The 27977-nt window shown below is 55.1% G+C and overlaps 1 protein-coding gene and 2 long non-coding RNA genes across 7 annotated transcripts in view, besides 11 other annotated features; 2 read left to right on the forward strand and 1 right to left on the reverse strand.

The window, feature by feature from the left end:
* Window positions 2233–2472: a silencer, noted in NCBI's record as "silent region_9175". NCBI's record gives its function as "represses an Ori minimal core promoter by ATAC-STARR-seq in GM12878 lymphoblastoid cells {active_cell/tissue: GM12878}" and the evidence as "EXISTENCE:reporter gene assay evidence [ECO:0000049][PMID:35858748]".
* Window positions 2636–3213: an enhancer, noted in NCBI's record as "H3K27ac-H3K4me1 hESC enhancer chr17:79925163-79925740 (GRCh37/hg19 assembly coordinates)". NCBI's record gives its function as "activates a minimal SCP1, AML or CMV promoter by ChIP-STARR-seq in primed H9 embryonic stem cells {active_cell/tissue: H9 hESC(primed)}" and the evidence as "EXISTENCE:reporter gene assay evidence [ECO:0000049][PMID:30033119]".
* Window positions 2636–3292: a biological region, named in NCBI's record as "H3K27ac-H3K4me1 hESC enhancer GRCh37_chr17:79925163-79925740".
* On the forward strand, window positions 2782–11684 carry LOC124904087 (uncharacterized). Its single transcript, XR_007065951.1, has 2 exons — window positions 2782–2869; window positions 11460–11684. It is a non-coding gene; the product is annotated as an uncharacterized LOC124904087 (long non-coding RNA).
* Window positions 3133–3292: a silencer, noted in NCBI's record as "silent region_9176". NCBI's record gives its function as "represses an Ori minimal core promoter by ATAC-STARR-seq in GM12878 lymphoblastoid cells {active_cell/tissue: GM12878}" and the evidence as "EXISTENCE:reporter gene assay evidence [ECO:0000049][PMID:35858748]".
* Window positions 3303–3352: a silencer, noted in NCBI's record as "silent region_9177". NCBI's record gives its function as "represses an Ori minimal core promoter by ATAC-STARR-seq in GM12878 lymphoblastoid cells {active_cell/tissue: GM12878}" and the evidence as "EXISTENCE:reporter gene assay evidence [ECO:0000049][PMID:35858748]".
* Window positions 11317–12834, reverse strand: LOC105371939 (uncharacterized). The gene is made up of 2 exons (XR_933953.4): window positions 12717–12834; window positions 11317–12306 (listed from the first exon to the last, which is right to left on the reverse strand). It is a non-coding gene; the product is annotated as an uncharacterized LOC105371939 (long non-coding RNA).
* Window positions 11590–12363: an enhancer, noted in NCBI's record as "H3K4me1 hESC enhancer chr17:79934117-79934890 (GRCh37/hg19 assembly coordinates)". NCBI's record gives its function as "activates a minimal SCP1, AML or CMV promoter by ChIP-STARR-seq in naive H9 embryonic stem cells {active_cell/tissue: H9 hESC(naive)}" and the evidence as "EXISTENCE:reporter gene assay evidence [ECO:0000049][PMID:30033119]".
* Window positions 12364–13135: an enhancer, noted in NCBI's record as "H3K27ac-H3K4me1 hESC enhancer chr17:79934891-79935662 (GRCh37/hg19 assembly coordinates)". NCBI's record gives its function as "activates a minimal SCP1, AML or CMV promoter by ChIP-STARR-seq in naive and primed H9 embryonic stem cells {active_cell/tissue: H9 hESC(naive and primed)}" and the evidence as "EXISTENCE:reporter gene assay evidence [ECO:0000049][PMID:30033119]".
* Window positions 12364–13473: a biological region, named in NCBI's record as "H3K27ac-H3K4me1 hESC enhancer GRCh37_chr17:79934891-79935662".
* Window positions 12614–13473: a silencer, noted in NCBI's record as "silent region_9178". NCBI's record gives its function as "represses an Ori minimal core promoter by ATAC-STARR-seq in GM12878 lymphoblastoid cells {active_cell/tissue: GM12878}" and the evidence as "EXISTENCE:reporter gene assay evidence [ECO:0000049][PMID:35858748]".
* Window positions 12978–27977, forward strand: part of ASPSCR1 (ASPSCR1 tether for SLC2A4, UBX domain containing) — a 39778-nt gene continuing 24778 nt past the window's right edge. For 3 of the 5 annotated variants that reach the window (XR_001752618.3, NM_001251888.2, NM_024083.4), the window contains exons 1-4: window positions 12978–13097; window positions 14533–14588; window positions 18903–19017; window positions 20856–20956. Coding sequence is in view for 3 of the 5 variants with exons in the window: in NM_001251888.2 (NP_001238817.1) it covers window positions 12996–13097; window positions 14533–14588; window positions 18903–19017; window positions 20856–20956 (374 nt within the window). In the remaining 2 variants the exon portion in view is untranslated. The remainder of the gene's footprint in view (window positions 13098–14532; window positions 14589–18902; window positions 19018–20855; window positions 20957–27977) is intronic. The other 2 variants (NR_045351.2, NM_001330528.2) reach the window with 1 other exon arrangement.
* Window positions 25116–25825: an enhancer, noted in NCBI's record as "H3K4me1 hESC enhancer chr17:79947643-79948352 (GRCh37/hg19 assembly coordinates)". NCBI's record gives its function as "activates a minimal SCP1, AML or CMV promoter by ChIP-STARR-seq in primed H9 embryonic stem cells {active_cell/tissue: H9 hESC(primed)}" and the evidence as "EXISTENCE:reporter gene assay evidence [ECO:0000049][PMID:30033119]".
* Window positions 26536–27243: an enhancer, noted in NCBI's record as "H3K27ac-H3K4me1 hESC enhancer chr17:79949063-79949770 (GRCh37/hg19 assembly coordinates)". NCBI's record gives its function as "activates a minimal SCP1, AML or CMV promoter by ChIP-STARR-seq in primed H9 embryonic stem cells {active_cell/tissue: H9 hESC(primed)}" and the evidence as "EXISTENCE:reporter gene assay evidence [ECO:0000049][PMID:30033119]".

The raw sequence follows: 27977 nt of genomic DNA on the forward strand, positions 1-27977 counted from the left end.
AAAAACTGGCTCATGAATGTTCACAGCAGGACTAGTCACAGTAGCCAAAAGGCGGAAAACAGCCCCAAAGTCCATCAGCAGATGAGTGGGTAAACACAATGGAACACAGCCATACAACGGAATATATTCTAGCCGTAAAACAAACGAAGTTCTGACATATGCTGCACTGTGGGTGAATCTTGAGAATATCAGCCAAGTGACATGAACTGGACACTGAAGGGCACATGCGGTATGAGTCCATTCATTTCGAGTGTCCAGAAGAGGCAACTTCATAGAGATAGAAAGTCCGCTGGTGGTTTCCAGGAGATGGAGAGAAACAGGGAGTGATTACTAATGGGTACAGGATTTCTTTTTTTCTTTTGTTTTTTTGTAAGACAGAATCTTGCTCTGTCACCCAGGCTGGAATGCAGTGATGTGATCTCGGCTCGCTGCAACTTCCGACTCTAAGGCTCCAACAATTCTCCTACATAGCTGGGATTACAGGTGTGCACCACCATGCCCAGCTAATTTTTGTATTTTTAGTAGACATGGGGTTTCACCATGTTGATCAGCTGGTCTCTGACCTCAGGTGATCCACCCACCTCGGCCTCCCAAAGTGCTGGGATTATAGGCGTGAGCCACTGTGCCCAGCTGGTACGGGGTTTCTTTTTGGGGTGATTAAAATGTTCTAAAATGGATTGTGGTAATGGTTGCACAATTTTCTGAATGTACTCTGTCATGTGATTAGATTTTTTTTTTTTTTTTTTTGAGATGGAGTTTTACTCTTGTTGCCCAGACTGGAGTGCAATGGCTCGATCTCAGCTCACTGCAACCTCTCCCTCCCGGGTTCAAGCGATTCTCCTGCCTCAGACTCCTGAGTAACTGGAATTACAGACATGCGCCACCAGGCTCAGCTAATTTTTTTTTTTTTTTGTATTAAGTAGAGACGGGGTTTCACCATGTTAGGCTGATCTCGAACTCCTGACCTCAGGTGATCCACCTGCCTTGGCCTCCCAAAGTGCTGGGATTACAGGCATGAGCCATGGCACCCACCCTGATATTTTAAAGTAGTTAGTTCTGACTGGGCACGGTGGCTCACGCCTGTAATCCCAGCACTTTGGGAAGTCCTGGAAGAAGGATTGCTTGAGCCCAGGGGTTCGAGACCAGCCTGGGCAGCACAGCAAGATCCCGCTTCCATCTAAAAGAATCAGTGGGTAAGACCAACAACGATCAGGCTGGGCACAGGGCACCAGGTGGCGGGGATGAGGCCTGAGGCCCCGTGAGCGGAGTGGCCAGCTTGGGGTGGAGTGGGCCGGCTCCTCTCTAGAAACCTTCCTGGCAGGTAGGGTGTTTCAGAACCCTCCTTTTGCATGTTAGACAGATATCCACTTTGTCTGCACCAGAGCGGATGGGTTAGGACAGCCAAGTACCGGCTGCTGCGGGGCCTGCAGTTGCGTCTCAGGTTCCTCGTCTGTAAAACGGGATGAGAACAGCACCTGCCTCACAGAGTCCGCGTGAACATCAAAGGTGCAGGATGTTTGGGGGCTCCGCTCGGCGTCTCCGGCGATGACCATGTGATAAATGACAGTTATGCTGCCCAGGCGTCGTGGGATTGCAGGCGATCCCCCAGGGACCAAGGTTGACTGCGAGGGCAGACATGGGGGCCTGGCGACGAGAGCACCACAGTGCCCATCCCAGGCTGCATGGTTGCGTGTGGTGTCCCTCACAGGGTGTGCCCTTCTCTGCTTCCCTGGCCCTGCCCCATCCCCACTGTCCTGTTCAGGGAGGACCATACAGGGTTCCCCAGGCTCCCATTCAGGTGGCGCCGGGGCTTCTGACTGAGCCTAGACTCTGTGTGCCCCGCGGCAGGAAAGCTGGGGAAACGAAGGCCCAGAGGGGACTCTGTGCTTCAGGAGAGGCACCCCGAGACAGGACGGGGTGAGGGTTCTGTTCACCGCCTTCCCCTGGGGAGGGAGCTGGGGATGCACAGGTGGTTCTGAGTCAATCCGCCGGGGTCACGGCTGTGCTGGGGGGCCGGAGCCCCCCCCCTGGGAAAAAGGGGTCAAGACAGCACATTTCAGGAAGCAAGGGCCCAAGCTGGCGGGCAGGCGCAGTCGGAGAGGGAGGAAGGTGTGATGGAGGGCAGCTGGCGGTACAGGGGTCCCCTCGAGACCTCGCGTGGGGCCCTGGAACTTGGTGATATGAGCGTCCAGCACACAGCATGTCAGGCAGCCCCAGACCCGGCTTCCTTGTCCATACTGGAGGCGGCTCCCTGCCGCACATCCCGGGCCCCTCCCCCCAGGGCCTTGAGCGCCAGGGCCGCTCTGGGCTCCAGCTGCTGCCAGCCGTCTGGGGCCCAGCTGTTGTGTGCTGGCCTCGGCCGCCCCGCCCCGCCTGGCCACCTGGGCTGCCCTGCGCCCCAGCTGCTGGCCTCTGAGGCCCAAGTGAGCAGGGAAGTGAGGCGGGCCACCCGCTTCCCCATGTGGCTGGCTGTTGGGGGAGGCCGCCGCTTCCCCCTTGGCTGGCTCTTGGGGGAGGCCCTGCTCTCCAACCGGCTCAGAGTGGGGGAGGTGCCGAGGCCAGGCGGTGCCGTCGCAGAGCATGGCCCCTTTTTGGTTTCCCCCAACCTCCTTTTCTGGTCACCCCATCCATCAGAAGGACCCTTCTTGGCCTCATATCCTGGGACCTTGATGAGCCAAGTCCCTTGTCAGGAGCTGCTGTGGCTCTCGCCCAGGTCCTTGGAGGGGCGAGGGGGGCCCCTGGGCGGGGCGGCTGCTCCTGGGCTTGGTGTTGGGGCTGCCCTCTCCCTGGCCCCAGTGCCTGGGAGTGAGTGGCCTCTGGATTCCCTGGTGGAAAGGATCGGCCTTGCCCTAGGATGTCCTTCACCCAGGTGAGAGCTCCTAGAGCCCAGCGGGGAGGCCGAGGCTGTCATTTTTGGACCCAGGTATTTGGCGGGATCTGCCCCTCTTGGCACCCCTGCAGCTGAGCTCCGCCCCATCCCGCCTCCTCCCTACGGCTTCACCCGGCTGGTGCCAACATGCAGCCTACTGGGCTAACCATGGAGTGGCAGGGCCACCAGGGAAAGGCCACCCTCCAAAGCTGGGGGAGGAAGGGCATGGGGATGGGGGAGTCCCAGCTCATCAGTGGAGATGCCGCCTCTTGGGACATCACGCAGACAGTGTGTGGCTCCTTCCTGGACAGGTGAGGGAGGCTGGAGGTCAGGCTCCCGGGTGCCAAGGGGAGGGGCAGAGAGGCTGGTCCTTTGCCCTCCCAGCTGCCAGGCTCCACCGCCCTCACGAGCTGCAGGCCGCGGCCCCCACCCGTCCAGCCTGCTGGTCCCCACGCTCCTGCTCCTGCCGCAACAGCGGCAGCAGGCCAGGGAGGCCATGTGACCTTCGCTCGCCCTCCCTCCCTCCCTGTGATCCCCACGTGGCCTCTGGGGAGGCAGAAACAAACCCTCAGATCTTGCCACTGGGAACCTTTCAGCGCCAGCGACATCAAAGAGGGGCGGCGGCGGCGGGGGCGGCCGGCGGATGCTTCTCTTAAAGGGCCACGCCACTTTTAATTCAAAGCAGATCCTGGGAGCAGCTGTCTAGCTGCTGTCTGGGAGGGAAGGTGGCAGCCGAGCCCTCTCCAGACCTGGCTGCAGTTGCTCCTTAGAACTAGTTCAACCAGGCTGGGTGCGGTGGCTCAAGCCTGTAATCCCAGCACTTTGGGAGGCCAAAGCAGGGAAAACACGTGAGGTCGGAAGTTCGAGACCAGCCTGGCCAACATGGTGAAACCCTGTCTGCTAAAAACACAAAAATCATTACAGAAAGAAAACTCATGGGATGAAAAAAAAAAAAAAAATCAGCCAGGCATGGTGGTGGCGCGTGCCTGTAATCCCAGCTACTTGGGATGTTGAGGCACGAGAATTCCTTTAACCCAGGAGATGGAGGTTAGAGTGAGCTGAGATCACGCCACTGCACTCCAGCCTGGGTGAGAGAGTGAGACTCTGCCTCAAAAAAAAAAAACAACAAAAAAAAACTAGTTAAACCGGAGAGGGGTGGGGACGGAGAAGAAGAACCAGCACTATGCCGCCCTTAGAACTGAGGCTGACAAGGTCCCAAGTGGCCAGACGGCAGCAAGGTAGAAACTAGATTCGTTTAATGAAATAAATAGTGTGAGCCCTCTCGCACATTTATGTATGAGCTGCGATTCTTTTATGATTATTATTTTTAGAGACAAGGTCTCACTCTGTGTTGCCAGGCTGGACTGCAGTGGTGTGATCACGGCTCACCGTAGCCCTGAACTCCCGGGCTCAAGTGATCCTCCTGCCTCAGCCTCCTGAGTACCTTGGACTACAGGCTTGCACCACCACACTCGGTTACTTTTTAATTTTTTTTGTAGAGATGGGGTCTCACTATGTTGCCCAGGCTGGTCTTGACCTCTTGGGCTCATGTGATCCTCCCCCTTAGCCACCCTAGATGCTGGGATTACAGCCGCATGTCACCCTGCCTGGCCCTGAGGTGGGATTGTGAACCTGCCCAGGTGTCTGTCCTGCCTAGAGGCCACTGACTGAGGCTGGAAGTGAGGCAGCTCCATGAGCCACAGGAAGGTTCCCTGACCACCTCCCATTCATTTGCCTGAGCCCTGTCCCAGGCACGGGGACATGGGGCCGGGATGGCAGGTGCACCTTTGCAGGGCTTGTCTTCTGGAGGAAGCAGATGCTGAAAAGTAGCTGTTCAAGGAGCTCCCTGACAGGGTGACAGGGGAAGGGAAGACAGGAAAGCCAGGCAGAAGACAGCCCCTGTGCTGGGCATTCAGTGGGCCTGGCAAGGGCCTGGGCCAGCCCTGGGATTGACTTTGTGCAGCCTTCGGGGAGGAACCCAAACTCATCTTCTGGCCTGGCTCAGGCTTCCTGCAGCCCACCGGGGACTCACTGCCTGCAATGACCTCTTGGCCTTCCTGTGCCAAGTCAGGGTCCACTCACCTGCCTGGAGGGTGCTACAGGTGAGGATCTGAGGCCTGGGCAGGCGAGGCTCTATGTTGGAGGCCAGCACAGACCAGGTCAAAGTTCAGTTCGGTGCAGGTAGGGGGCTGGACCTGGTGCCTGGACCATTCCACGCCTGGACACTGTGGCCTCCCATGCAATGTCCAGCAGTGAGCACTTTGTGCTTTTGACTTAGTGCATGGTGGAGAAGAGTGGAGTCATAGGTGGCCGCAGAGTGGGGTCATGCGTAAATCTTTGAAAACGTGGGTGGGCTGCAGTGATAACAGCAAAAGAGACTGTGATATCCTGTGGTCACCTGTTGTATAAGGAGGAAGATAGGTTAAGAATCTACATCTGGCTGGGCGCAGTGGCTCACGCCGGTAATTCCAGCACTTTGGGAGGCTGAGGTCGGCGGATCACTTGAACCCGGGAGGTGGAGGTTGTGGTGAGCCGCGATCACGCCACTGCACTCCAGCCTGGGCAACAGAGTGAGACTCAGTCAAAATATATATATACATATATACATACATATACATATATATACATATATATACATATATACATATATATACATATATACATACATATACACATATATACATATATATACACATATATACATATATATACATATATATATACATATATATACATATATATATATACATATATATATATATATATTTGATTCCAAAGTATAAAGACATGGCCTGACCTGTTTCTTCTCCCACTCATCCTCATAGAAAACCATTTTCTTTTTTTTCTCTTTTTAGAGATGGAGTCTCGCTCTGTTGCCCAGCCTGGAGTGCAGTGTTGTGACCACAGCTCACTGCAGCCTCAAACTCCGGCCTCAGCCTCCTGAGTAGCTTGGACTACAGGCACACGCCACCACGCCTGGCTAATTTTTTTTTTTTTTTTTTGAGACAGAGTCTCACTCAGTTGCCCAGGCTGGATTGCAGTGGCTCGATCTCCGCTCACTGCAGGCTCTGCCTCCTGGGTTCACACCATTCTCCTGCGTCAGCCTCCTGAGTAGCTGGGACTACAGGCACCCGCCACCACACCCAGCTAATTTTTTTGTATTTTTTTTTTAGTAGAGACGGGCTTTCACCATGTTAGCCAGGATGGTTGCGATCTCCTGACCTTGTGATCCACCCACCTCAGCCTCCCAAAGTGCTGGGATTACAGGCATGAGCCACTGCGCCCGGCCAATTTTTTTTTTTTTTTGAGACAGAGTCTCGCTCTGTTGCCCAGGCTGGAGTGCAGTGGTGCTATCTTGGCTCACTGCAACCTCCGCCTCCTGGGTTCAAGCAATTCTCCTGTGTCAGCCTCCTCAGTAACTGGGATTACAGGTGTGCACCACCACGCCGGGCCAATTTTTGTATTTTTAGTATACGGGGTTTCACCATGTTGGTCCGGATGGTCTCAAACTCCTGACCTTGTGATCTGCCCATCTTGGCCTCCCAAAGTGCTGGGATTACAGGTGTGAACCACTGTGCCCGGCCAAGAAAACCATTTTCGTTAACTTCTAGGGTAGCCTGCTTGTTTTTCTTTTTGCAAAGATGAGCAAATTCCTGTGTCAGGTGCCAGGTGGGCACATATGTAGATTTTTTTTTTTTTTTTCTGAGACGGAGTCTTGCTCTGTCACCCAGGCTGGAGTGTGAGTGCAGCGGCACCATCTCGGCTCACTGCAACCTCCACCTCACGGGTTCAAGAGATTCTCCTGCCTCAGCCTCCAGAGTAGCTGAGATGACAGGCACACACCACCACGCCCGGCTGATTTTTGTATTTTTAGTAGAGGTGGTGTTTCATCATGTTGGCCAGGCTGGTCTTGAACTCCTGAACTCAGGTGATCCACCCGTTTTGGCCTTCCAAAGTGCTGGGATTACAGGCGTGAGTCACCGTACCGCACCTGAATCAAATAAACCTTTTGAACAATGAAAATATAGCACTATAAAAAAGGATGAAGAAAAAACCCCAAATTTAGTAAAAAACAAAATAAATAAATGTAACCTAACCGTGCATCAAATTGTTAAACGGACCTAACCTACCTATAATGGTTAATTGTATGTGTCAACTTGACCAGGCTAAGGGATACCCAGAGAGTTGGTAAAACCTCATGGCTGGGTATGTCTTCAAGGATGTTTCTGGAAGAAATTAGCATTTGGATCAGTGGCCCAAGAAGATCCACCCTCACCACAGCGGGCAGGAATCATCCAATCAGTTGAGGGCCCAAATAGAACAAAAAGGTGGAAGAAGGACACATTCTCTCTTCTTGAGCTGGGACGTCCATCCTCCTGCCCTTGGACATTGGAGAAGGGCAACCTGCTTCTCAGGCTTTTGGACTCCAGGACTTACACCAGCCGCCCATCCTACACTTCTGGGGCTTCAGGATGGGAGTTACACCTCTCGCTCCCCTGGTTCTCAGACCTGCAGACTTGGATTGAATTAAATTATATTGTAATTATATTATAAACCAATGTATTGAGTTATACACTGGTTTTGGGTATTGAGTTATACACTGGTTTGAGTATTCAGTTATACACTGGTTTATAATACACTGGTTTTCCTGTCTCAAGCTTGCAGACAACCGACCATGGGACTTCTTTCTCAGCCTCTATAATCATTTGAGCCAATTCCCATAATACATTTCCTCTTTTTTTTTTGAGATGGAGTCTCACTCTGTCACTCAGGCTGGAGTACAGTGGTGTGATCTCGGCTCACTGCAACCTCCACCTCCCGGGTTCAAGTGATTCTCCTGCCTCAGCCTCCCGAGTAGCTGCGACTATAGGTGTGCAGCACCACACCCGGCTATTTTTTGTGTTTTCAGTAGAGATGAGGTTTCCCCATGTTGGCCAGGCTGGTCTCTTGTATATATCTGTGCATATCCTATTGGTTCTGTTTCTCTGGAGGACCCTATAATACACTAACCTAACCTAACACAGAAAAGCAAATTAATTCAAATAACTTTTGAACACAATACTCTATGTTTCTTTAATGGGACATACTCTAAAGGACAAAAATAGCTACAAAGACATCTTGAAATTTCCACAGTAGATCTGTTGTTAATAGCAAGATTGCCGCAGTACCTCTGAAACTATTTGGAGGGCATTTTAGAACAAAGCAAATGAATAAATATACTGATTTACTGACAATTAGGGTTCTCACTGCGGACAAAGGAGGTATTAGGTTGAACCATGTAGGTTTTGTCATTTTTTTGTAGATCAAAAATGATCGGCTGGGCGCAGTGGCTCATGCCTATCTATAATCCCAGTACTTTGAGAGGCCGAGGTGGGAGGATCACCTGAGGTCTGGAGTTCAAGACCAGCCTGGCCACCACAGTGAAACCCCATCGCTACTAGAAATACAAAGATTAGCTGCTCATGGTGGCAAGCGCCTGTAATCCAAGCTATTCAGGAGGCTGAGGAAGGAGAATCGCTTGAACCCGGGAGATGGGGGTTGCACTGAGCCGAGATCGTGCCACTGTATTCCAGCCTGGGCAATAGAGCGAGACTCTGTCTCAAAAAAAAAAAAAAAAAAAAAAAAAAAAGCCTGGGTGCGGTGGCTCACACCTGTAATCCCAGCACTTTGGGAGGCCGAGGCAGGCGGATCACAAGGTCAGGAGATTGAGACCATTCTGGCTAACATGGTGAAACCCTGTCTCTACTAAAAATACAAAAAATTAGCCGGGTGTGGTGGCCGGTGCCTGTAGTCCCAGCTACTCGGGAGGCCGAGGCAGGAGAATGGCGTGAACCTGGGAGGTGGAGCTTGCAGTGAGCCAAGATTGCGCCACTGCACTCCAGCCTGGGTGACAGAGTGAGACTCCGTCTCAAAAAAAAAAAAAAAGAAGATAAAAAAAGGTTAACTAGGGCAATTTAATAGAATTCAACCAAATACAAATATGGAATGAGGGAAGAAGGGGGAGAAGGCTGAGGTGTGGCTTAGAAATATTCAGATGAATTCATCACACTAATTGTGTCCCCTGAGAGGGCCCAGAAAGCAGTGACATCCCAGTAGCCATGAGCACACTCAGCACCCAGAACTTGGTCTCTAAATCCCATTTCCTTGTAAAAGGGATTGGGGTTTCTCTGAAAAATGGCTGACTTCAGGGCTTGGGCAGAGAGGAGATGCCCAAAGAATAATGGAAATGCCAAAAGGATGCAGGAAAGATGTCCACACTTGGACAATTAACTGTGGATTAACTCAGAGTATGATACCAACATTAGATTTCCCAATTTTGTATGAAATTATGGTGGCTATATAAGAGACTGGCCTTATTTTATTTATTTATTTTTTTGAGACTGAGTCTCACTCTGTCGCCAAGGCTGGAGTGCAATGGCGTGATCTTGGCTCACTGTAACCTCCACCTCCCACAATCAAGCAATTCTCCCACCTCAGCCTCCCAAGTAGCTGGAATTACAGGCACCTGCCATCACGCCCAGCTACTTTTTGTATTTTTTGTAGAGATAGGGTTTCACCATGTTGGCCAGGCTGGTTTTGAACTCCTGACCTCAGGTGATCCACCCGCCTTGGTCTCCCAAAATGCTGGGATTACAGGCGTGAGCCACTGCACCTGGTTGAGACTGGCCTTATTCTTAGGAAAGAGAAAAACTGAAGTATTTAGTGGCGAAGGTGCTCAATGTCTTTACTGCAGCCTCGACCTCCTGGGCTCAAGTGATCCTCCTGCCTCAATCTCTCAAATCGCTGGGACTACAGGGACATGCCACCATGCCTAGCTAACCTTTGTATTTTTTGTAGAGCTGGGGTCTCACTATGTTGCCTAGGGTGGTCTCAAACTCCTAGGCTCAAATGATCCTCCTACTTTGGCCTCCCAAAGTGCTGGGATTATAGGTGTAAGCCACTGTGCCTGGCCAGAAAAAGTTTTTACATGTATATGGAGAGAGAGAAAGAGAATATGATAAAACAAATGGGGTGACATGTAAACACTGATTTATCTGGCTAAAAGATATACAGGAGGCTGGGCGTGGTGGCTCACACCTGTAATCCCAGCACTTTGGGAGGCTGAGGCGGGTGGATCACGAGGTCAGGAGATTGAGACCATCCTGGCTAACATGGTGAAACCCCATGTCTACTAAAAATACAAAAAATTAGCCGGGCATGGTGGCAGGTGCCTGTAGTCCCAGCTACTCGGGAGGCTGAGGCAGGAGAATGATGTGAACCCGGGAGGCGGAGCTTGCAGTGAGCCGAGATTGCACCACTGCACTCCAGCCTGGGCAACAGAGCGAGACTCCGTCTCAAAAAACAAAACAAAACAAAACAACAACTAGCTGGGTGTGGTGCTGCACACCTGTAGTCCCAGCTACTCGGGAGGCTGAGGCAGAAGAATCGCTTGAACCCGGGAGGCAGAGGTTGCAGTGAGCTGAGATTTCGCCACTGCACTCCAGCCTGGCGACAGAGGGAGACTCCATCTCCAAAAAAAAAAAAAAAAAAAAAAGATATACAGCAGGAATTCTTGCTTTTGCAAACTTTTCTTCTCTTTCTTCCTTCCTCCTCCCTCTTCTTCTTTCTTCTCCTTCTCCTTTTTTGAGACGGTATCGTACTACGTTGCTCGGGCTGGGGTGCAGTAGTTATTCATAGGCATGAATAGTGGTTCACTAAGGCTGGAACTTAAGTAATTCTCCTGCCTCGGCCACCGGAGTAGCTAAGACTACAGGTGTGAGCCACCTTGCTCGGCTAAGTTTGAAATAATATCAGGATAAAAGATCATCCCTCCTATCAAAAAAAGCATAGGAGCCAGCTTAAAGGAGGTCTCACTGGCCAAATTCGGACCAATTTGAGCATCAAAAAGAATGCTGACTGAATGAAAAAAATACATGAATTCATATTAATAAATATATATATTTCAAGATGGGGTTTCACTCTTGTCGCCCAGGCTGGAGTGCAATGGTGCGATCTTGGCTCGTTGCAACCTCCATCTCCCAGGTTCAAGTGATTCTCCTACCTCAGTGTCCCGAATAGCTGGGATTACAGGCACGCACCGCCATGCCCGGCTAATTTTTGTACTTTTTTTTTAAGTAGAGACAGGATTTCACCATGTTGGCCAAGATGGTCTCAATCTCTTGACCTTGTGATCTGCCCAACTCAGCCTCCCAAAGTGCTGGGATTACAGGCGTGAGCCACCGCGCCTGGCCATATTTAATTTTTTTTTTTTTTTTTTTTTTGAGACAGAGTCTTGCTCCGTCTCCCAGGCTGGAGTACAGTGGCGTGATCTCAGCTCACTGCGAGCTCTGCCTCCCGGATTCACGCCATTCTCCTGCCTCAGCCTCCCAAATATTTAATAACTTTTTAAAGAAGGGGAAGCTTGACCGAAAGTGACTATAAATGTAGAAGAAACAATAAACTTGGGAAGCCATGATTTTGCAGCTTTACGGTTTAACACTGAATCTACTCATTAACTGATGCTAAAACTGTTGGGCAAATGGTTATTGGGAAAACTTGATGCTTGTGGTCTCAGAGAATGACCTCACGCATGCCTTAATTACTCCACAAGGAGCCACGGACCTTGACCATGGAGGAATTCAGCAGACCCAAAGCTGACCAAGTGGTTCAACTTCACGTCCTCACTCATGGCCACGCTGATGTCCTGCACCTCCTGCTGACTTGTCACCTCCCTTCATCATTGCCCCAAACGTTTAACCAAGGATCCAGACTGTGGGACAGTCTAAGGAAAATAGGAACAGACTCTTCAAAAACGCCACTAAAGAATTAAAACCCACCAGGTGATGTGTGGCTCAGTAAGGTTCTGAGGTTGCACAGAGCATGGGACTGGCTGGCTGGATGGGAGGGCTATGGCTAGCCTGGGGCTTTCCCCAGGTTTCTCCAATGTACATAGATGTCCGTGTTTGTCAGCATACAGGTGTGTGTGGGTGACATGGATATGTCATCGACAGGAAGGCACAACAGCACCCATGCAGAGATGTCCTTAGACTCAGCAATGACTGCCGGGTGCGGTGGCTCACGTGTGTAATCCCAGCCCTGTGGGAGGATTGACTGATAACTGCACCAGTTCCCCCTTCCACAGGCTACTGGGCAGCTGAGCCCTAGCCAGGAGTCCGCAGAGACAGGCAGGCACATGGAGAGAGGAGTGCCAAGGCCCGGCTGAGCCATGGAGGTGGGGGGCGGGGCGGAACACGTGCGAGTGCTGTCCATGAGTGGCCCAGGTGCTGGGAGCTAAGCACATTCGACGGCTGCGAGTCAGGAGGGCAGCTCCTTCTGGAAGCCTGGAGCTGGTGAGGCCAGGTGCTTTCCCTGCTGCGGTGGCTGGCGATGGGAGTGTTTCCTGAGGCTGCCACCAAGCCCCTCCTCAGCATGGGTTGGTGCGGGAAGTCCTTGAGTGCCTGTGGGTCGGCAGGAGCTCCGGTGAGACTCAAGTTCGCTCACCCCACGGTTCTGAAACCGGTCTCCCGCCTTTCCTACCCTCAGGTTTAGGGACCGTCGCGGCAGCCCTAGGGCTGCCAGATTCTGCACTCCCATTTTAGGATGAAAGAAATCAGGTCTAGACTGAGGGCCACGAGTCCCAACACCCAGGGAGGATCCGTACAGGGGCGGGGGGACTGCCCCAAACCATAAGGTCAGGAGGTGGACGCTGACCACAGGGACAGGTGGGCAGGGAAGAGGCTCAGCTGCTGGAGTGGAGGAAGCCGGGAGGGTCGGGGGAGAGCAGGGCACCGAGCTGGGGACGTGTCAGGGACGAAGCGAGGGTGGGCGAGCGCGGACCGCTGGGACCCCGGGGCTCAGTGCCGCTCACCGGGGGTGACCGCGCGCCCAGCCCCGGCCCAGCCTGGCCCCGGCGAGCCCATCCAAGCCGCGCTTCCCGGAGGCAGAGGACGACCGCGCTTTCCGGGTCTGGCGCGGGCTTTGGCGGCCCAAGGGCGGGGCCGGGGCGCCGTGGGTGGGGAAAGGGCGGGGCCTGGCAGGACCCGGAAGTGCGCTGCGGCCCCGCCCCCTGGCCGCGTGGCTGCGCGTCCTGGCTGTTGCCGATAAAGTTGTTTGACGCCGGCCCGGCGGCGGGTCACGTGAGCGGAAAATGGCGGCCCCGGCAGGCGGCGGAGGCTCCGCGGTGTCGGTGCTGGCCCCGAACGGCCGGCGCCACACGGTGAAGGTGACGCCGAGCACCGTGCTGCTTCAGGTGCGGCCGCCCGCCCGGGGCGGACGGGTAGGCGGGCGGGGGGCGCTGCGCCGAGGCCCCGCCCATTGCGGTCGGCGTCCCGGTGTTCGGGGGCGGGGCCTCGGCGGCCAATGAGCGGCCTCCTGAGCGGCGGCCCCGCCCCCTGCTCGCCGTCACCTGCGCTTCCGCTGGGGTCCCGGGGGTCCCGGGGGTCCCGAGTGGGGGCGGGGCGGTGGCGAGCCTTCCCAGGGGTGAGGTAGAACGGCGCCGCGTGTCACCCGCATCGAGTACTCGGCGCCCGGCCGAGCCCAGCTCGCGAGGGCGCCGGGAAGAGGGAGGAGTGGAGCCCTAGACCCGCGTTCCCATTCCGGGGCGTCCCCCGGAGCGGGAGCCCGGGTTGCGCGGTGGCAGATGTCCCGGCCGTGGGGCCTGGAAGCGATTTTTGCCGAGTCACTCACTGCACTTTTACTTGGGCACCTTGTGACCGCGAATCAATTAAATGTAAAAGTATTGGCTGGGCGCGGTGGCTCACGCCTGTAAATCCCAGCACTGTGGGATGCCGAGGCGGGTGGATCACGAGGTCAAGAGATCAAGACCATCCTGGCTAAAACGGTGAAACCCCGTCTGTACTAAAAAAATACAAAAAAATTTAGCCGGGCGTGGTGGCGGGCGCCTGTAGTCCCAGCTACTCGGGAGGCTGAGGCAGGAGAATGGCGTGAACCTGGGAGGCAGAGCTTGCAGTGAGCCGAGATCGCGCTACTGCACTCCAGCCTGGGAGACAGAGCGAGACTCCATATCAAAAAAAAAAAAAAAAAGTATTTATTGAGCCTCTGCTGCGTGGGGGACCGTGAGGATCCGAAGGTGCACACGACTCGGAGTTTGCGGGAGCAGCCCACGGCGTGGGGTCCCCAGGCCTGGGCAGGTGGAGGGCGCAGCCAGGAGGCTGTTGGTGCCAGGCGTGCAGAGTGCGGAAGTGGGGCGCTCCCGCAGAGGCTGCGCGGGACCCCTTGGTGCAAGGCCACGGCTTTGGCTTTTTATGGAGAAGAGGGGCGGAGGCGGTGCAGGCAGTGGCAGCAGGTGCACAGAACCGTGCCAGAGCCAGGGGGTAGCTTGTGCTAGGCAAGTTTAAGGCAGGTTGCAGAACTACAGGGTTTGAAGGAGAGCCCAGGGTGTGTGCCAGGAAGATGCCCGTGTTGCTGTACTGCAGGGGAACTCTGAGTGGAGCTTTCCTACAAAACTGAGGGGATGGTGAAGAAGGGAGGGAGAGTGGACAGGATTTGCAGGTGAGAGCCTGCATTTGTTGCGGGGACCGTCCATAGTGTGGTCTTGTGCTTGGCTTTGCCTGGGCAGAGCCACCTGGCTCACCAGGAAGCTGAATGCCCTTGGCTGACCTGGCCCACTGCGCCCGCCAGCCCTGCACACTCAGCAGTTCACCATCCTTTCATCTCACCCCCAGGTTCTGGAGGACACGTGCCGGCGGCAGGACTTCAACCCCTGTGAATATGATCTGAAGTGAGTTTGCTCCAGCTCAGCAGCAGGGTCTGAGTATATCTGTGCCCCTGCCCCCTGAACATACTGGCTCTCACTTGGAAAAGCCCCCAGGTGGTTTTAAACAGTCATATATTCCCTCCCAACTCTGGAGACCCAAGGCCTTGGCAGGGCCACACTCTCTCCAAATGCCCTAAGGGAGAATCCCTCCTGCCTCTTCCAGCTTCTCATGGCTCCAAGCGTTCTGTGGCTTGTGGCCGCATTGCTCTCTGCCTCCGATTTCTTGTGGCCTTTTCCTGTTTTCTCTGTGTCTCAGGAAGACCCTTGTCATTGGATTTAGGGTCCACTTGGATAATCTAGAACGATTTATCATTACATCTTCAAAGACCAGGATCCCTAGTAAGATGTTCAGAGGTCCTGGGGGTGAGGACATTGACCCATCTTTTTTGGGGGGGCCACCATTCAACCCCCTGTAGGTTTTATTGCATTGAGTTGCATAAGTTCCCAGTGGGGCTCTGAGGGGAAAGAGCTGGCCGTGGAGAAATAGGATGCCTTGAAAACTGCAGGTGGATCCCTGCAGTCTCACAGCCCCTGGAATTACACGTACGCTTCTGTGTGGGGATATTGTTCCCAAGAGAGGGCTTCTGCCAGACTCTCAAGGAGTCTGAGACAGCAGAAGGGTCAGAGCCCTCATATGGATAGGATGTGCGTGTCTATCCCACACGCGAAGCTTTTCACTTTAAAGTCCTGTTTTCTGGTGTTTTTTTTGTTTTGTTTTGTTTTTGAGACAGGGTTTCACTCTTGTCGCCCAGGCTGGAGTGCAGTGGCACGGTCTTGGCTCACTGCAACCTCCACCTCCTAGGTTCAAGTGATTCTCCTGCCTCAGCCTCCCGAGTAGCTGAGATTAGAGGTGCTCACCAACACACCCAGCTAATTTTTATATTTTTAGTAGAGATGGGGTTTCACCACATTGGCCAGGACGGTCTAGAACTCCTGACCTTGTGATCCGCCTGCCTTGGCCTCCCAAAGTACTGGGATTACAGAGATGAGTCACCATGCCTGCCCTTGAAGACCTGTTTTTACAGTACTGTTGTCCTAACACTGGGGGCAGAGGGCAGGAGCTTGCCCTCCTGGCATTGCCCACCCTGCCTTACGAGGCTCTCCTGGGAGGAGTTTCTTAGGGGTGATACCTGCCAAGTCATTCCAGTCTTCTACCTTGTGTCTGGACCACGTGAGAATCCCAGGACCTGTGCTCTGAATGCCAGGTGGTCTTGGGCTTTCTGCCCCAGACCTTCACACCATCCTTCTCCAGTCTCTCTTGTCAACTGAAGAATGCGGTTCATATGTTTGGAAAGGAGGGCTTTATTTCTCATAACCGGTTGCAGCTTGCAGGGTGGCCATTCTAACAGGCTGGGAAGTGTAGCCTCCAGCCAGAAGCTGGAAACAGACACTTCAAGAGAGGGAAGAATAAGACAGGGATTTACACCGAATGGGGTGGCTGATACAGACGTACTTAATACGCTGTAGGAGGATCATGAGTATTCATGAAAGGAGAACTGTGCACACAGTTGAGCTTCCTGCCTCTTCACGGGTCCTATGTGCAAAAAATGGCAGTGCCAGCATGACCTGAGGGTGGAATTTTTGGCCTCTGAAGTCAGAGGTGAAGCAGGCTGGGTGAAGTGGCTCATGCCTGTAATCCTAGCACTTTGGGTGCCCGAGGCGGAGGATTGCCTGAGCCCAGGAATTCGAGATCAGCCTGGGGAACATAGTGAGACCCTGTCTCTACAAAAAAAGTAAATAAGTAAATAAATAAATAAATGGCAAATCAGAGGACATGAAGACTGTGCCACGAAAACCCTGACTGTGCCAGAACCACTCCATGGTTGGTGGTTTCTTATCAGGAAATACCTGTGGGTTGTTTTGAAGAAACCGCAAGAGAGAAGGGCCTGGCGGGAGGTTGGCTGATGTCAGATACCAGCCCAGGGGTCTTTGGAAAGGGCTGCTTTCTGTTTATCCCTTAGGGAAGAGAGCCTGCAGATGTGTCTGATCTCCCACCCAGCCATGGCCAGGAACTCAGCTTTCAAGGTTTCTGGGGTCCCCTGGGCCAAGAGGAGGCTGGTTCAGTTGGTTGGGGGGGGCTTAGGGTTTCATTTTTATTTCTTTTTTATTTTATTATTTTTTGAGGTGGAGTCTCGCTCTGTCACACAGGCTGTAGTACAGTGGCGCTATCTCGGCTCACTGCAACCTCTGTCTCCCAGGTTCAAGTGATTCTTCTGCCTCAGCCTCCCGAGTAGCTGGGATTACAGGCGTGCGCCATCATGCCCAGCTAATTTTTGTATTTTTAGTAGGGACGGGGTTTCACCATGTTGGTCATGCTGGTCTTCAAGTCCTGACCTCAGGTGATCTGCCCGCCTTGGTCTTCCAAAGTGTTGGGATTACAGGCATGAGTCACTGTGCCTGGCCATTTTTCTGAAACAGAGTCTTGCTCTGTCACCTAGGCTGGAGGGCAGTGGCATGATCTCAGCTCACCGCAACCTCTGCCTCCCGGGTTCAAGCGATTATTGTGCCTCAGCGTCTTGAGTAGCTGGAATTACAGGCACGTGCCACGCCTGGCTAATTTTTGTATTTTTAGTAGTGACGGGGTTTCACCATGTGGACCAGGCTGGTCTCAAACTCCTGACCTCAAGTGATCCGCCCGTCTTGGCCTCCCAAAGTGCTGGGATGATAGGCGTGAGCCACTGCACCTGGCCTCATTTTTCTTTCTTTTTTTTGAGACGGAGTCTCGCTCTGTCGCCCAGGCTGGAGTGCAATGGCGCGATCTTGGCACACTGCAACCTCCGCCTCCCGGGTTGAAGCACTCCTCCCACTTCAGCCTCCCGAGTAGCTGGGACTACAGGCCTGTGCCACCATGCCTGGCTAATTTTTGTATTTTTAGTAGAGACGGAGTTTCACCACATTGGCCAGACTGCTCTCAAACTCCTGACCTCAAGTGATCTGCCCGTCTGGGCCTCCCAAATTGCTGGGATTACAGGCATGAGCCACCGCGCCCAGCGCATTGTTACTTCTCAGTGTTCACCTGCCCGTGGTCTGTGTGGTGGTGTCTGGTGGGAACCAGTGAGTGCGATTTTGAGGCAGGTCCTGCAATACCATAGCCATGTTTTCAGGTGCCCTTTTCCTCTGCTAATGGTACCACTTGCTTACAAAGTGCAGCCGGTGCAGAGGAATGCAGCCCCAGGCGTGAACAGTGCCCTCCGCTCCAAGGTTCCCAGCCTGCCTGCCCTCGGGATCCCCCGATCTGCTATCCTGTCTTGACGTAGACATTTCATGTGGCAATTTCCAGACTCACTTTTCTGGCCAGTGTTGATATAGCAAAGTTTGTTCTCTCTTAATTCTTCCAGATGCCCCTGGGCTGTCTGAACTCTCTTCACTAGTTGTCTCCGACAGCAGCTTGCATTTCCAAAGTGAGGCCAACCACTTTGAGTATATTCAGATTTTTCTTTTCTTTTCTTTCTTTTTCTTTCTTGTTTTCTCTTTCTTTCTTTCTTTCTTCTTCTCTTTTTCTTTTTCTTCCTTTCTCTTTTCTTTTCTTTTCTTTCCTTTCCTTTCCTTTTTTCTTTCACAGAGTTTTGCTCTTGTTGCCCAGGCAGGAGTGCAGTGGCATGATCTTGCCTCACTGCAGCCTCTGCCTCCCGGGTTCAAGCGATTCTCCTGCCTCAGCCTCCCGAGTAGCTGGGACTACAGGCCTGAGCCACCATGCCCAGCTTATTTTTTTGTATTTTTAGTAGAGATGGGATATTTTTGTATTTTCAGTAGAGACGGGGTTTCACCATGTTGGTCAGGCTTGTCTCAAACTCCTGAACCTCAGGTGATCCGCCTGCCTCGGCCTCCGAAAGTGCTGGGATTACAGGCGTGAGCCACTGCGCCCGGGCAGTCAGGTTTTCTGTGGTGGCTCCAGCCGTGACGGCCGGGGTCTGTGACACTCCAGCTTCCGCGAGTGCAGCAGTGTTCACGCCCCAGTCGTTCTCTCTGTGTTTTCCGAGCGTCTGCACTGGGGCTGTCAGCACCCCAGACTCTGAAGGAGCAGCCCCCTCGGCGTGCACCGAGGCCCACATCTCCCTTTTTCCTGCTCCCTTCTGCTTGCAGGAGGCCCCATATGATCGGGGACCCGCCTTGTGCCTCTGCAGGTCATGACGTCCCGCTGTTGGGGAGCTGCCACAGGACGTGGATGGCGGGGCGTGGATGGCGGGGCGTGGATGGTGGGACGGGGATGGCGGGGCGTGGATGGCAGGGCGTGTCAGGCTCTGCAGGGCAGCAAGTGTGCTCTGGTCTGTCTTGCAGGTTTCAGAGGAGCGTGCTCGACCTTTCTCTCCAGTGGAGATTTGCCAACCTGCCCAACAATGCCAAGCTGGAGATGGTGCCCGCTTCCCGGAGCCGTGAGGGGCCTGAGAACATGGTGGGTCGTGCTCTGGGGGAGGCTGACTGTGTGGGGCACAGGATCGTTCAGCTGGCCAGGGACGGGGGACGGGACAGTGGGGGGTGCTGGGGAAGGAGGGACATGAGTCTTAGCACCAGTTCTGCCTTCCCTGGGTTGGGCCCAAACAGCTTCCTGTTTTTTGATAACTGGCAACTGAAAATGAGCATCTCATGTTTTTTTTTTTTTGAGCTGGAGTCTCGCTCTGTCGCCCAGGCTGGAGCTCAGTGGCGCAGTCTCGGCTCACTTCAAGCTCCGCCTCCCGGGTTCACACCATTCTGCCTCAGCCTCCCGAGTAGCTAGGACTACAGGTGCCCGCCACCACACCCGGCTAATTTTTGTATTTTAGTAGAGGCAGGGTTTCACCATGTTGGCCTGCTGGTCTGGAACTGCTGACCTCATGATCTACCCGCCTCGGCCTCCCAAAGTCCTCCCAAAGGATTGCAGGCGTGAGCCTCTGCGCCCCGCCCACGTCATTCTTCATGTGGAAGTTTTTCTTTCTTTCTGGGGTCAGTTGTGCCTTCCCTGGCTCAGGGTGTCAGCAGCATTCACCCACCAGCCTGACCACCTGCTCATAGAATTGCCCAGAATGTTAGAGCCGAAAGCGCTGCATGGATGCCGCAAGGGCAGCCTGTAATCCCAGCACTTTAGGAGGCCGAGGCGGGCAGATCACCTGAGGTCAGGAGTTTGGGACCAGCCGGCCAACATAATGAAACCCCGTCTCTACTAAAAATACAAAAATTAGCCGTGGGTGGTGGCGGATGCCTGTAGTCCCAGCTACTCAGCAGGCTGAGGCAGGAGAATGGCGTGAACCCGGGAGGCGGAGCTTGCAGTGAGCCGAGATTGTGCTGCCACTGCACTCCAGCCTGGGCGACAGAGTGAGACTTTGTCTCAAAAAAAAAAAAAAGAGCAGCAAACATTTACCATCTCATGTGGCTTCTGAGGGTCAGGAATCTGGGAGCAGCTTAGCTCAGTGTCTGTCCTGAGGCTGCAGTCAGGTTCGGTGGAGCTGCAATCTTTTGAAGCCCCCACTGGGACACGAGGACTGTCTCCAACACAGTTCACTCCTGTGGCGCCTGCATGTACCCACACACACCCACACACACCCCCACACACCCACATACCCGCACACCCGTACACACCCCCACACACCCCTGCACACACCCCACACACACCTGCACACCCCCGCACACACACCCCCCACACACACCCACACACACCCCTACAGCAACGTGCACACACCCCCACACCCGCACACACCCGCACACACCCCACACACCTGCACACACCCACACACCTGCGTGCACACCCCCCCACACACCTGCACACACCGCCCACACCAACATGCACACACCTCCCCCCCACACACACCCACGCACACACCTGTACACACACACCTACACATCTGCGCACATACCCGCACACACCTGCATGTAAACATGCACACACACGCACATCTGCACGCACATGCGCACACCTGCACACACCCACACACCAACATGCACACATCCACACACATACCTGCACACAACTGCACACCCCCGCACACACCCACACACACATATGCACACACGCACGCACACCTGCACATACCTGCACACTCACATGCACACACGCATGCTGGTGCAGCCCTGCCGGGGAGCCTCCAAGGCCCTCACTCCAGAGTGAATAGGAGGGTAGCCTTCTCCGTGGGGGTCAGCCTCTCCCTGGAGGCCAGGGCGGGGCAGTCACCCTCTCTGTGTCTGGAGAATCAGTCTGGGATTTAGAAGGAATAGTTGCTTTTCTTCCTAAGGAAGTTTCTCATGTCTTATACCCTCCAGGTTCGCATCGCTTTGCAGCTGGACGATGGCTCGAGGTTGCAGGACTCTTTCTGTTCAGGCCAGACCCTCTGGGAGCTTCTCAGCCATTTTCCACAGATCAGGTGAGCATCAGTGGGCTGGGGGCTCTTCCCTACCCTGTTTGCTGGGGAAGCTGCTGTGGTTACTGGGTCTGGTTCAGAGCTGGACACCCAAGCTCTGTGCTGGCCTGTGGTGCCTCTTGGCACTTTGCAGTCCTTTGTAGAGGAGGGGTGTGTGGGCTGCCGGTTCATGAGCAGCAGCCTCGGGGATGGCTGGTCACAGCTCATCGTTCTGAGTTTCCTGGGCCCAGCGGCCCAGCCTTGCCCACCTAGAAGAGCAGGAATGTGCTTCTGTCCTTGTGGGGGCCTGGTGAGCACTAAGGGGAGACGTTCGGTGCTGGGGGCAGGGCTCCCCATGCTTGATTCCCCTGGATGGGATCATAAGGTCTCTTTTTTTTAAGAGGCAGGGTCTCACTATGTTGGTCACCTAGGCTGCTCTTGAACCCATGGGCTCAAGAAATTCTCCCATCTCAGCCTCCCAAAGCGTTGAGATTACAGGTGTGAGCTCCTGTGCCCCACCAGAAAATCTTCCTAATAGTAATTGGATGGCTGGGCACAGTGGCTGGGCACAGTGGCTGGGCAAAGTGGCTTGCACTTTGGAAGGCCGAGGCTGGCGAATCGCTTGAGCTCATGAGTTCAAGACTAGCCTCGGCAACATAGTGAAACCCCTTCTCTACAAAAAATAGAAATGTTAGGCCAGGCATAGTGCATGGTGGTGCGTGCCTGTGGTCCCAGCTATGCCAGAGGCTGAGGTGGGAGGATCACTTGAGCCGTGGAGGCAGTTGCAGTGAGCCGAGATCGCACTGCTGCACTCCAGCCTGGGCAACAGAACGAGACTCTGTCTCAAAAAAATAAATAAATAAAAATAAGTAATTGATGTGTATCAGTTTCTGTCGGTTAATGGTTTAAACGTTGTTCCTGAATGTGTAAAAATTGGTGCTTTGTCAATTTGGGTCTTTTCATCGTTGGCTGGAAGTCTCTGTCCACAGTAAAAGGCTCAGCAGAATGGAAGGGACTTGGGGCTGGGGTTTGCTGTGAGCCAGGGGGTTCTCGCCCTCCCCGGGCCTCAGTTTCCTCACCTGTGCCCCGGCTGGTGTGTGGATGGGGTGAGTTCATGTCTTGAGGACCGAGCATAGGGCCTGTGGGAAGGTGACCGCGCGTCGGGCGCTGGGAAGGTGACTGTGCGTTGGGCGCGCTTGGTGGCCCCAGGGCTGGGCCTGCTCCCGTCTGACAGTAGTGCCGCGCTGCATGGCACGGGTGTTGCGTTCGTGGGTGAGAGCGCTGAGGTCTGCACGTCGGGTCTCAGTGGTCATGGGGATGGAAGCCACCCCAGTGGCTGTCGGGGTGAATGGAGGCCCCTGGAGATGGCAGCGGGTTAAGCACGAGCACGGAATTCTCCCTCCCAAAACGGAACTCAGACAACAGTGACGGAGCCTAAGAGCAAAGCCAAAGCCACGGGCAGGGGTGAGCGGGACCCGAGGCAGGAGATGACGGAGCCTAAGAGCAAAGCGAAGCCACGGGCAGGGGTGAGCGGGACCCGAGGCAGGAGGTGACAGAGCCTAAGAGCAAAGCGAAGCCACGGGCAGGGGTGAGCGGGACCCGAGGCAGGAGATGACGGAGCCTGAGAGCAAAGCGAAGCCACGGGCAGGGGTGAGCGGGACCCGAGCCAGGAGTGGCGCCGGGCAGGGAGGCAGGCAGCCCCAGGCGCTGTGTGGGCACTGGGTGAGAAGCAGGGATCCCGGCGCCCTGGCTCTGTGCTGCTTCCTGAGACGAGAGTGGCAGAGGGCAAGAAGAAAACCAAACAGCGCGGGGAACAGAAGTCAGGAAAGATGAACGTCTGGAAGGAAATGCCCCTGGGCCGGGCGGTGCCCCCGGGCGTGAACAGAATCCAGTGCTCCCACAGGCACAGGTGCTTGGTGAGGGCCGTCCTCCCTGGCTGTGCTGTCAGTCCTCAGATGGGGATGGAGGTAAGGAAATGGCCCAGAGTGGCCTGGGGCTGCCACTGGGGAGGGGCCGAGGGTGTCTGGAGAGGTGGGGCCGGCATTGTGGTAGCATAAGCCTCTTCAACAGACTTTGTAAACCTCGTGTGAAACTTAGTTTAAGAAACAACAGGCTTGGCCAGGCGTGGTGGTTCTGGAAGTGGCTTTGGAGCTGGCTTTGGTGGTGGCTGTGGGGGTGGGTTTGGGCGCTTTGGAGGAGGTTGCAGTGAGCCGAGATCGCACCATTGCACTCTAGCCTGGGTGACAAGAGCAAAACTCCATCTCAAAAAAACAAAAAAACAAAAGAAACAACAAGGCTGGGCACGGTGGCTCACACCTGTAATCGCAGCACTTTGGGAGGCTGAGGCGGGTGGATCACGAGGTCAGGAGTTCGAGACCAGCCTGGCCAATATGGTGAAACTCCATCTCTACTAAAAATACAAAAATTAGCCGGGCGTGGTGGTGGGTTCCTGTAGTCCCAGCTACTCAGGAGGCTGAGGCAGAAGAATTGCTTGAACCCAGGAGGTGGAGGTTGCAGTGAGCCAAGATTGCACTCAGCCTGGGCAACAGAGCGAGACTCTGTCTCAAAAAAAAAAAAAAAAGAAACAACAGAAGTGGCTGGGCGTGATGGCTCACGCCTGTAATTCCAACCCTTTGGGAGGCCGAGGTGGGTGGATCACCTGAGGTCAGGAGTTCGAGACCAGCCTGGCCAACATGGTGAAAACCCATCTCTACTAAAAATACAAAAATTAGCTGGGCGCAATGGCTCATGCTTGTAGTCCCAGCTACTCAGGAGGCAGGAGAATCACTTGAACCCGGGAGGCGGAGGTTGTAGTGAGCTGAGATTGCGCCACTGCACTCCAGCCTGGGTGACAAAGCAGGACTCCGTCTCAAAAAAAAAAAAAAAAACAAGAGCAAGTGGGGCAGCTCTTTCGAGACACCAGGGACAGCAGGAGGTGGTGGGGCCGTTGGTGGTAAAGCCCGGAGCCCCCAGCCTGCGGCCCTGGTCTGTGTGGCAGTGTGGGTCTGTCTGCGGGTGTGTCTGCACGTACACCTCATTTGATGAACACTCACACCTGTGGTGGAGAGTGATTTGTGGCTGACTGTTGTTGCTGGTGAATATGCTGTGGACATCTTCCTGAAGGGTCCCGCACCTGTCACTCCTCACAGCCATGCTCTTCCGTCGTGTGGGTGTCATGTGGGTGTTGCGGGGCATCTGGCTGTGTCTCAGGGCATCCCGGGCAGGGTTGCAGCAGAGTGTGCAGCTGGAGGCCTTTGCACCTGGTCACCCACCCCAGCTTCTCCTGTGGGCTAAATTCCAGAGGTGGAATTTAAGATAGGGCTTCTTCACATTTCATTTCCAGGCCGGGCATGGCGGCTCTCACCTGTAATCCCAGCACTTTGGGAGGCTGAGGCAGATGGATCACCTGAGGTCAGGAGTTTGAGACCAGCCTGGCCAACATGGTGAAACCCCGTCTCTACTAAAAATACAAAAAGCAGCTGGGTGTGGTGGTGAGGGCCTGTAATCCCAGCTACTTGGGAGGCTGAGGCAGGAGAATCACTTGAACTCAGGAGGTGGAGGTTGCAGTGAGCCGACATCACACCACTGCATTCCAGCCTGGGCGACAGAGCAAGACTCTGTCTCAGAAATAAATATTAAATAAATTTCTAAAAGCTCAGACCCAAGCTTTGTCCCAGAAGCTGGAGTTTGCTAACCATGGAGCAGGATATGGACGAGGTTTCATAGTGGGTGGCGTTGCCAGCCCCACGGTGAGGGTGGAGTGCCTGGTGGGCTCTCTGCTGGGAGCTGGTCCCCAGCAGGTCTGCATGAGGGAGGGAGGCTCTCGTGCCTAGTGTCCCTGCACTGGCCCAGGAGGCTTGGGGAGGCCTTGGGAAGTCCAGGTGTCCGCAGAGTGGGACGGGCGGGAAGCTGATGTTTCTTCTTTCATGTGTTTCGGAGGAGGTCTGAGTCCAGGGACAGTGTAGGCGCTGTGCTTCGAAGGGGCGTTCTGAGGCTGGGGGCTGCAGGCCTGTAGCGTGCCCAGGAGTTGCCCTGGGACAGAGCCTGCTTTGTGTATTTGGGGACCCCTGGGTGATTTCCTTGGATGGACACTGCCACGTGTTTGAAACGTTGCAGCTCCACTGCGAGGGTGTCACTGTAGCACGCAGCCCTGGCCCGACCAGCGTCTCAAGCAGCAGGGGCCTCAGGGATACCAGCGAGCCACACGTCGGCCATGGAGGTGACTCACATTTTCTTTTCTTTCACCCAGGCTGGAGTGCAGTGGTGCGATCTTGGCTCACTGCAACCTCCGCCTCCCGGGTTCAAGCAATTCTCCTGCCTCAGCCACCTGAGTAGCTGGGATTACTGGCGCACGCCATCACGCCTGGCTAATTTTTGTATTTTTTTTAGTAGAGACAGGGTTTCACCATGTTGGCCAGGCTGGTCAGGTGATCAGCCCGCCTCGGCCTCCCAAAGTGCTGAGATTACAGGCGTGAGCCACCACACCTGGCCAATCACTCACTTTTTCTTGTAACCGCATTAAAGAAGAAATAAAAACAGGTGTCATTAATTTTAGTAATACGTGTAGTTAACTCAGTATACCCAAAATACGACTTCCTGGACACGTAGTCAGTAGAAAAGTGAGCCGTCTCATGCTCTTGTTGTGCAGAGTCCTTGAGACCTGCATGTATGGTGCACTTGGAGCATCTCGGTCTGGGCCGGGTCCTCGTGGACTGGGCGCTCTCCACTCTGCTTCTCAGGCTCTGCTGCAGGGAGGGCGTCAGGAGACAGAGGCTGCACACTGCTGGCTTCGAGCTTTCCCATTTTCCCTATAGTCTGAAGGTTCTGCCCAGCACAGAGGGGTGTGAACAGCCACGCCGAGCTCTGGGGGACACTGCTCTCCGCCTGCCTGGTGGGCCTGTGTCTGAGTTTGGGATCTTCCACGCCGAGCTCTGGGGGACACTGCTCTCTGCCTGCCTGGTGGGCCTGTGTCTGAGTTTGGGATCTTCCACGCCGAGCTCTGGGGGACACTGCTCTCTGCCTGCCTGGTGGGCCTGTGTCTAGTTTGAGATCTTTATTACGGGGAGTGTGCCTTCCGTGATAGGAGACGCATGAGATGGAAATGAGGATTTCATGGCCTACGGGCCCTGGGGGTACACGGCCCTCCTGGAGGCACCCGGAGGAGGAAAGGGAGTACCTTTCTGACCAGCATCTTTGCTGGGGTACAGATTGTTATGCTAACGGGTTTCCTATGAGGAGTTTCTCTCCATGGGTTTAGAGCCAGCAGGCACTAGCCCCAGGAGGTCATACTGTGACTCGGGGGATACTGTAGCACGTCTGGGCAGTCCACGAGGGCAGGCGGGCGAGTCCCGTAGTTTGAATCCCACGTCCCGTAAGGACCTAGTTGCCAAGTGGTGAAAGGCAGGGGTGTGGATGGACCATGCTGAGCTGCTGGGAGCAGGAAGAGAACCGGGGACTGTTGTGGGTGACCGAGACCTGCCGTGGAACGATGCCAAGGGTGAGCCGTGGGAACTCACACAGCAGCTGAGCCGCTTTCCATCTGAAGACCGTGAGGGAGCAGGGTGGGCTTTCTGTAAATCAGATTCATGAGCTCAGCCATGGAGGGGATTTGTCCTCTCTCAGAGGTGCCCCCGGGCTGTGCTGGCGTGGGCACCCCAGGTGGGAGTGGCCCCCAGTGTGCCCGGCCCCTGGCTGGATCTCTTCCCAGGCCCCCAGCCCTCTGCTCCCAGCCTTGACTCAGTGCTTGGGGGCTGGCTGAGTGCATCTCAGCCTGTTCCTCCTTCTGTAGGTAAAGCCGTGGCTCCGGGAAAGCTGGGTGATTTCTGCAGCCCTCTGGGTGTGCTGGGGTGTAGGGATGGGCTGCTGGTGAGGACAGGGCTCTGCCAGGTGGAGCACTGGCCTGTGGCCACACTCAGGGTGGGTCTGTGCATGCTGCTGGGCCAGCTCAGAGCTCTGCGGCCCGTCCCTGTCCATCCCTGCCCGTCCCTGTTCATCCCTGTCCGTCCTTGTCCATTCCTGTCCATCCCTGTCCATCCTTGTCCATCCCTGTCTGGACCTGGCTGGGTTGAGAAGGCCGGAGCCTGCCCCAGGCTCTCCCAGGCTCTGTCTAGCCGCTTGGCGGCTGGGCTGTCATGTGGTGGGTGATGCCCTCTGCGGGCCTCCCTGAGCCCAGTGGCTCCTGGCCTGCAGCCACAGCTTCTGTTCCCGGCAGGGCGCATGCTGCTGCCTGGGCTCTCGTCAGCACCTGTGTTTGCGCCCGGCTTTGTCATACCCAGACAGGACATGAACACAGAGAGCTCTAGACTCACTGCCTTGTCCCCAGCACACAGCCGCGCCTTGCCGGAGCGGGGCCCCAGCGGGGCGGGGTTTGTGGTGCATAAAGAATATGCCCTCGAAGCCAGCAGCAGAGGCGTGTCTGCCCTCCTGGCCGTCCCGCTGGCTTCTGGCCCTGGCCGGGTGGGGAGCTCTGCTGGCTGGAGAGTGTGTGAGAGTGTGCCAGTACCCTGCTGCGAGCAGGCACCCGCGGAAGCGCCCCAAAGCACTTCTTGCATTTCTGGCTTCGGAGCATGGTGTCTGGTGGCTTGGCCTGGCCTGGGGTCCCCGGGAGGCCCTGGGTCTTGCCCCTGCGGACATTGGGACTTGCAGAGGTCTGCGTGGGGGAGGGGGAGTAGGGGCTGTGTCTCCTCGGGCGCTGGAATTTCCCCCGGGCCCTGGCGTCCTGCACACTGGGCCGGCGTAGAAGGTCTGGAACCGATTGCCCACCACCCCTCCCTGAGATCCCGCATGAGGGAGGGAATCTGATCCCTCTGGAGGAGCCGCACATCAAAGCCGGGCTGGCGTTTGATGTCACGCTGCTGTGCTCTGTCCCTGTTTGTGATTTGAGGTCCCCAAGCTGGCGGTCAGTGCCGGGGAAGGACTGTGAGTTGGGACTCTGGCCACCCCTCAGCCCAGGCCTCCCCAGCCGTAGAGAAGTGGCCTCATGACCATCTCCGGACCCCTGGCCATCTGTGTCATGCTGGGGAGCGGGGACCCTGGGCCCTCCCTG

This window comes from Homo sapiens, chromosome 17 (assembly GCF_000001405.40).
Source record: "Homo sapiens chromosome 17, GRCh38.p14 Primary Assembly".
In the NCBI taxonomy this organism is placed as follows: Eukaryota; Metazoa; Chordata; class Mammalia; order Primates; family Hominidae; genus Homo; species Homo sapiens.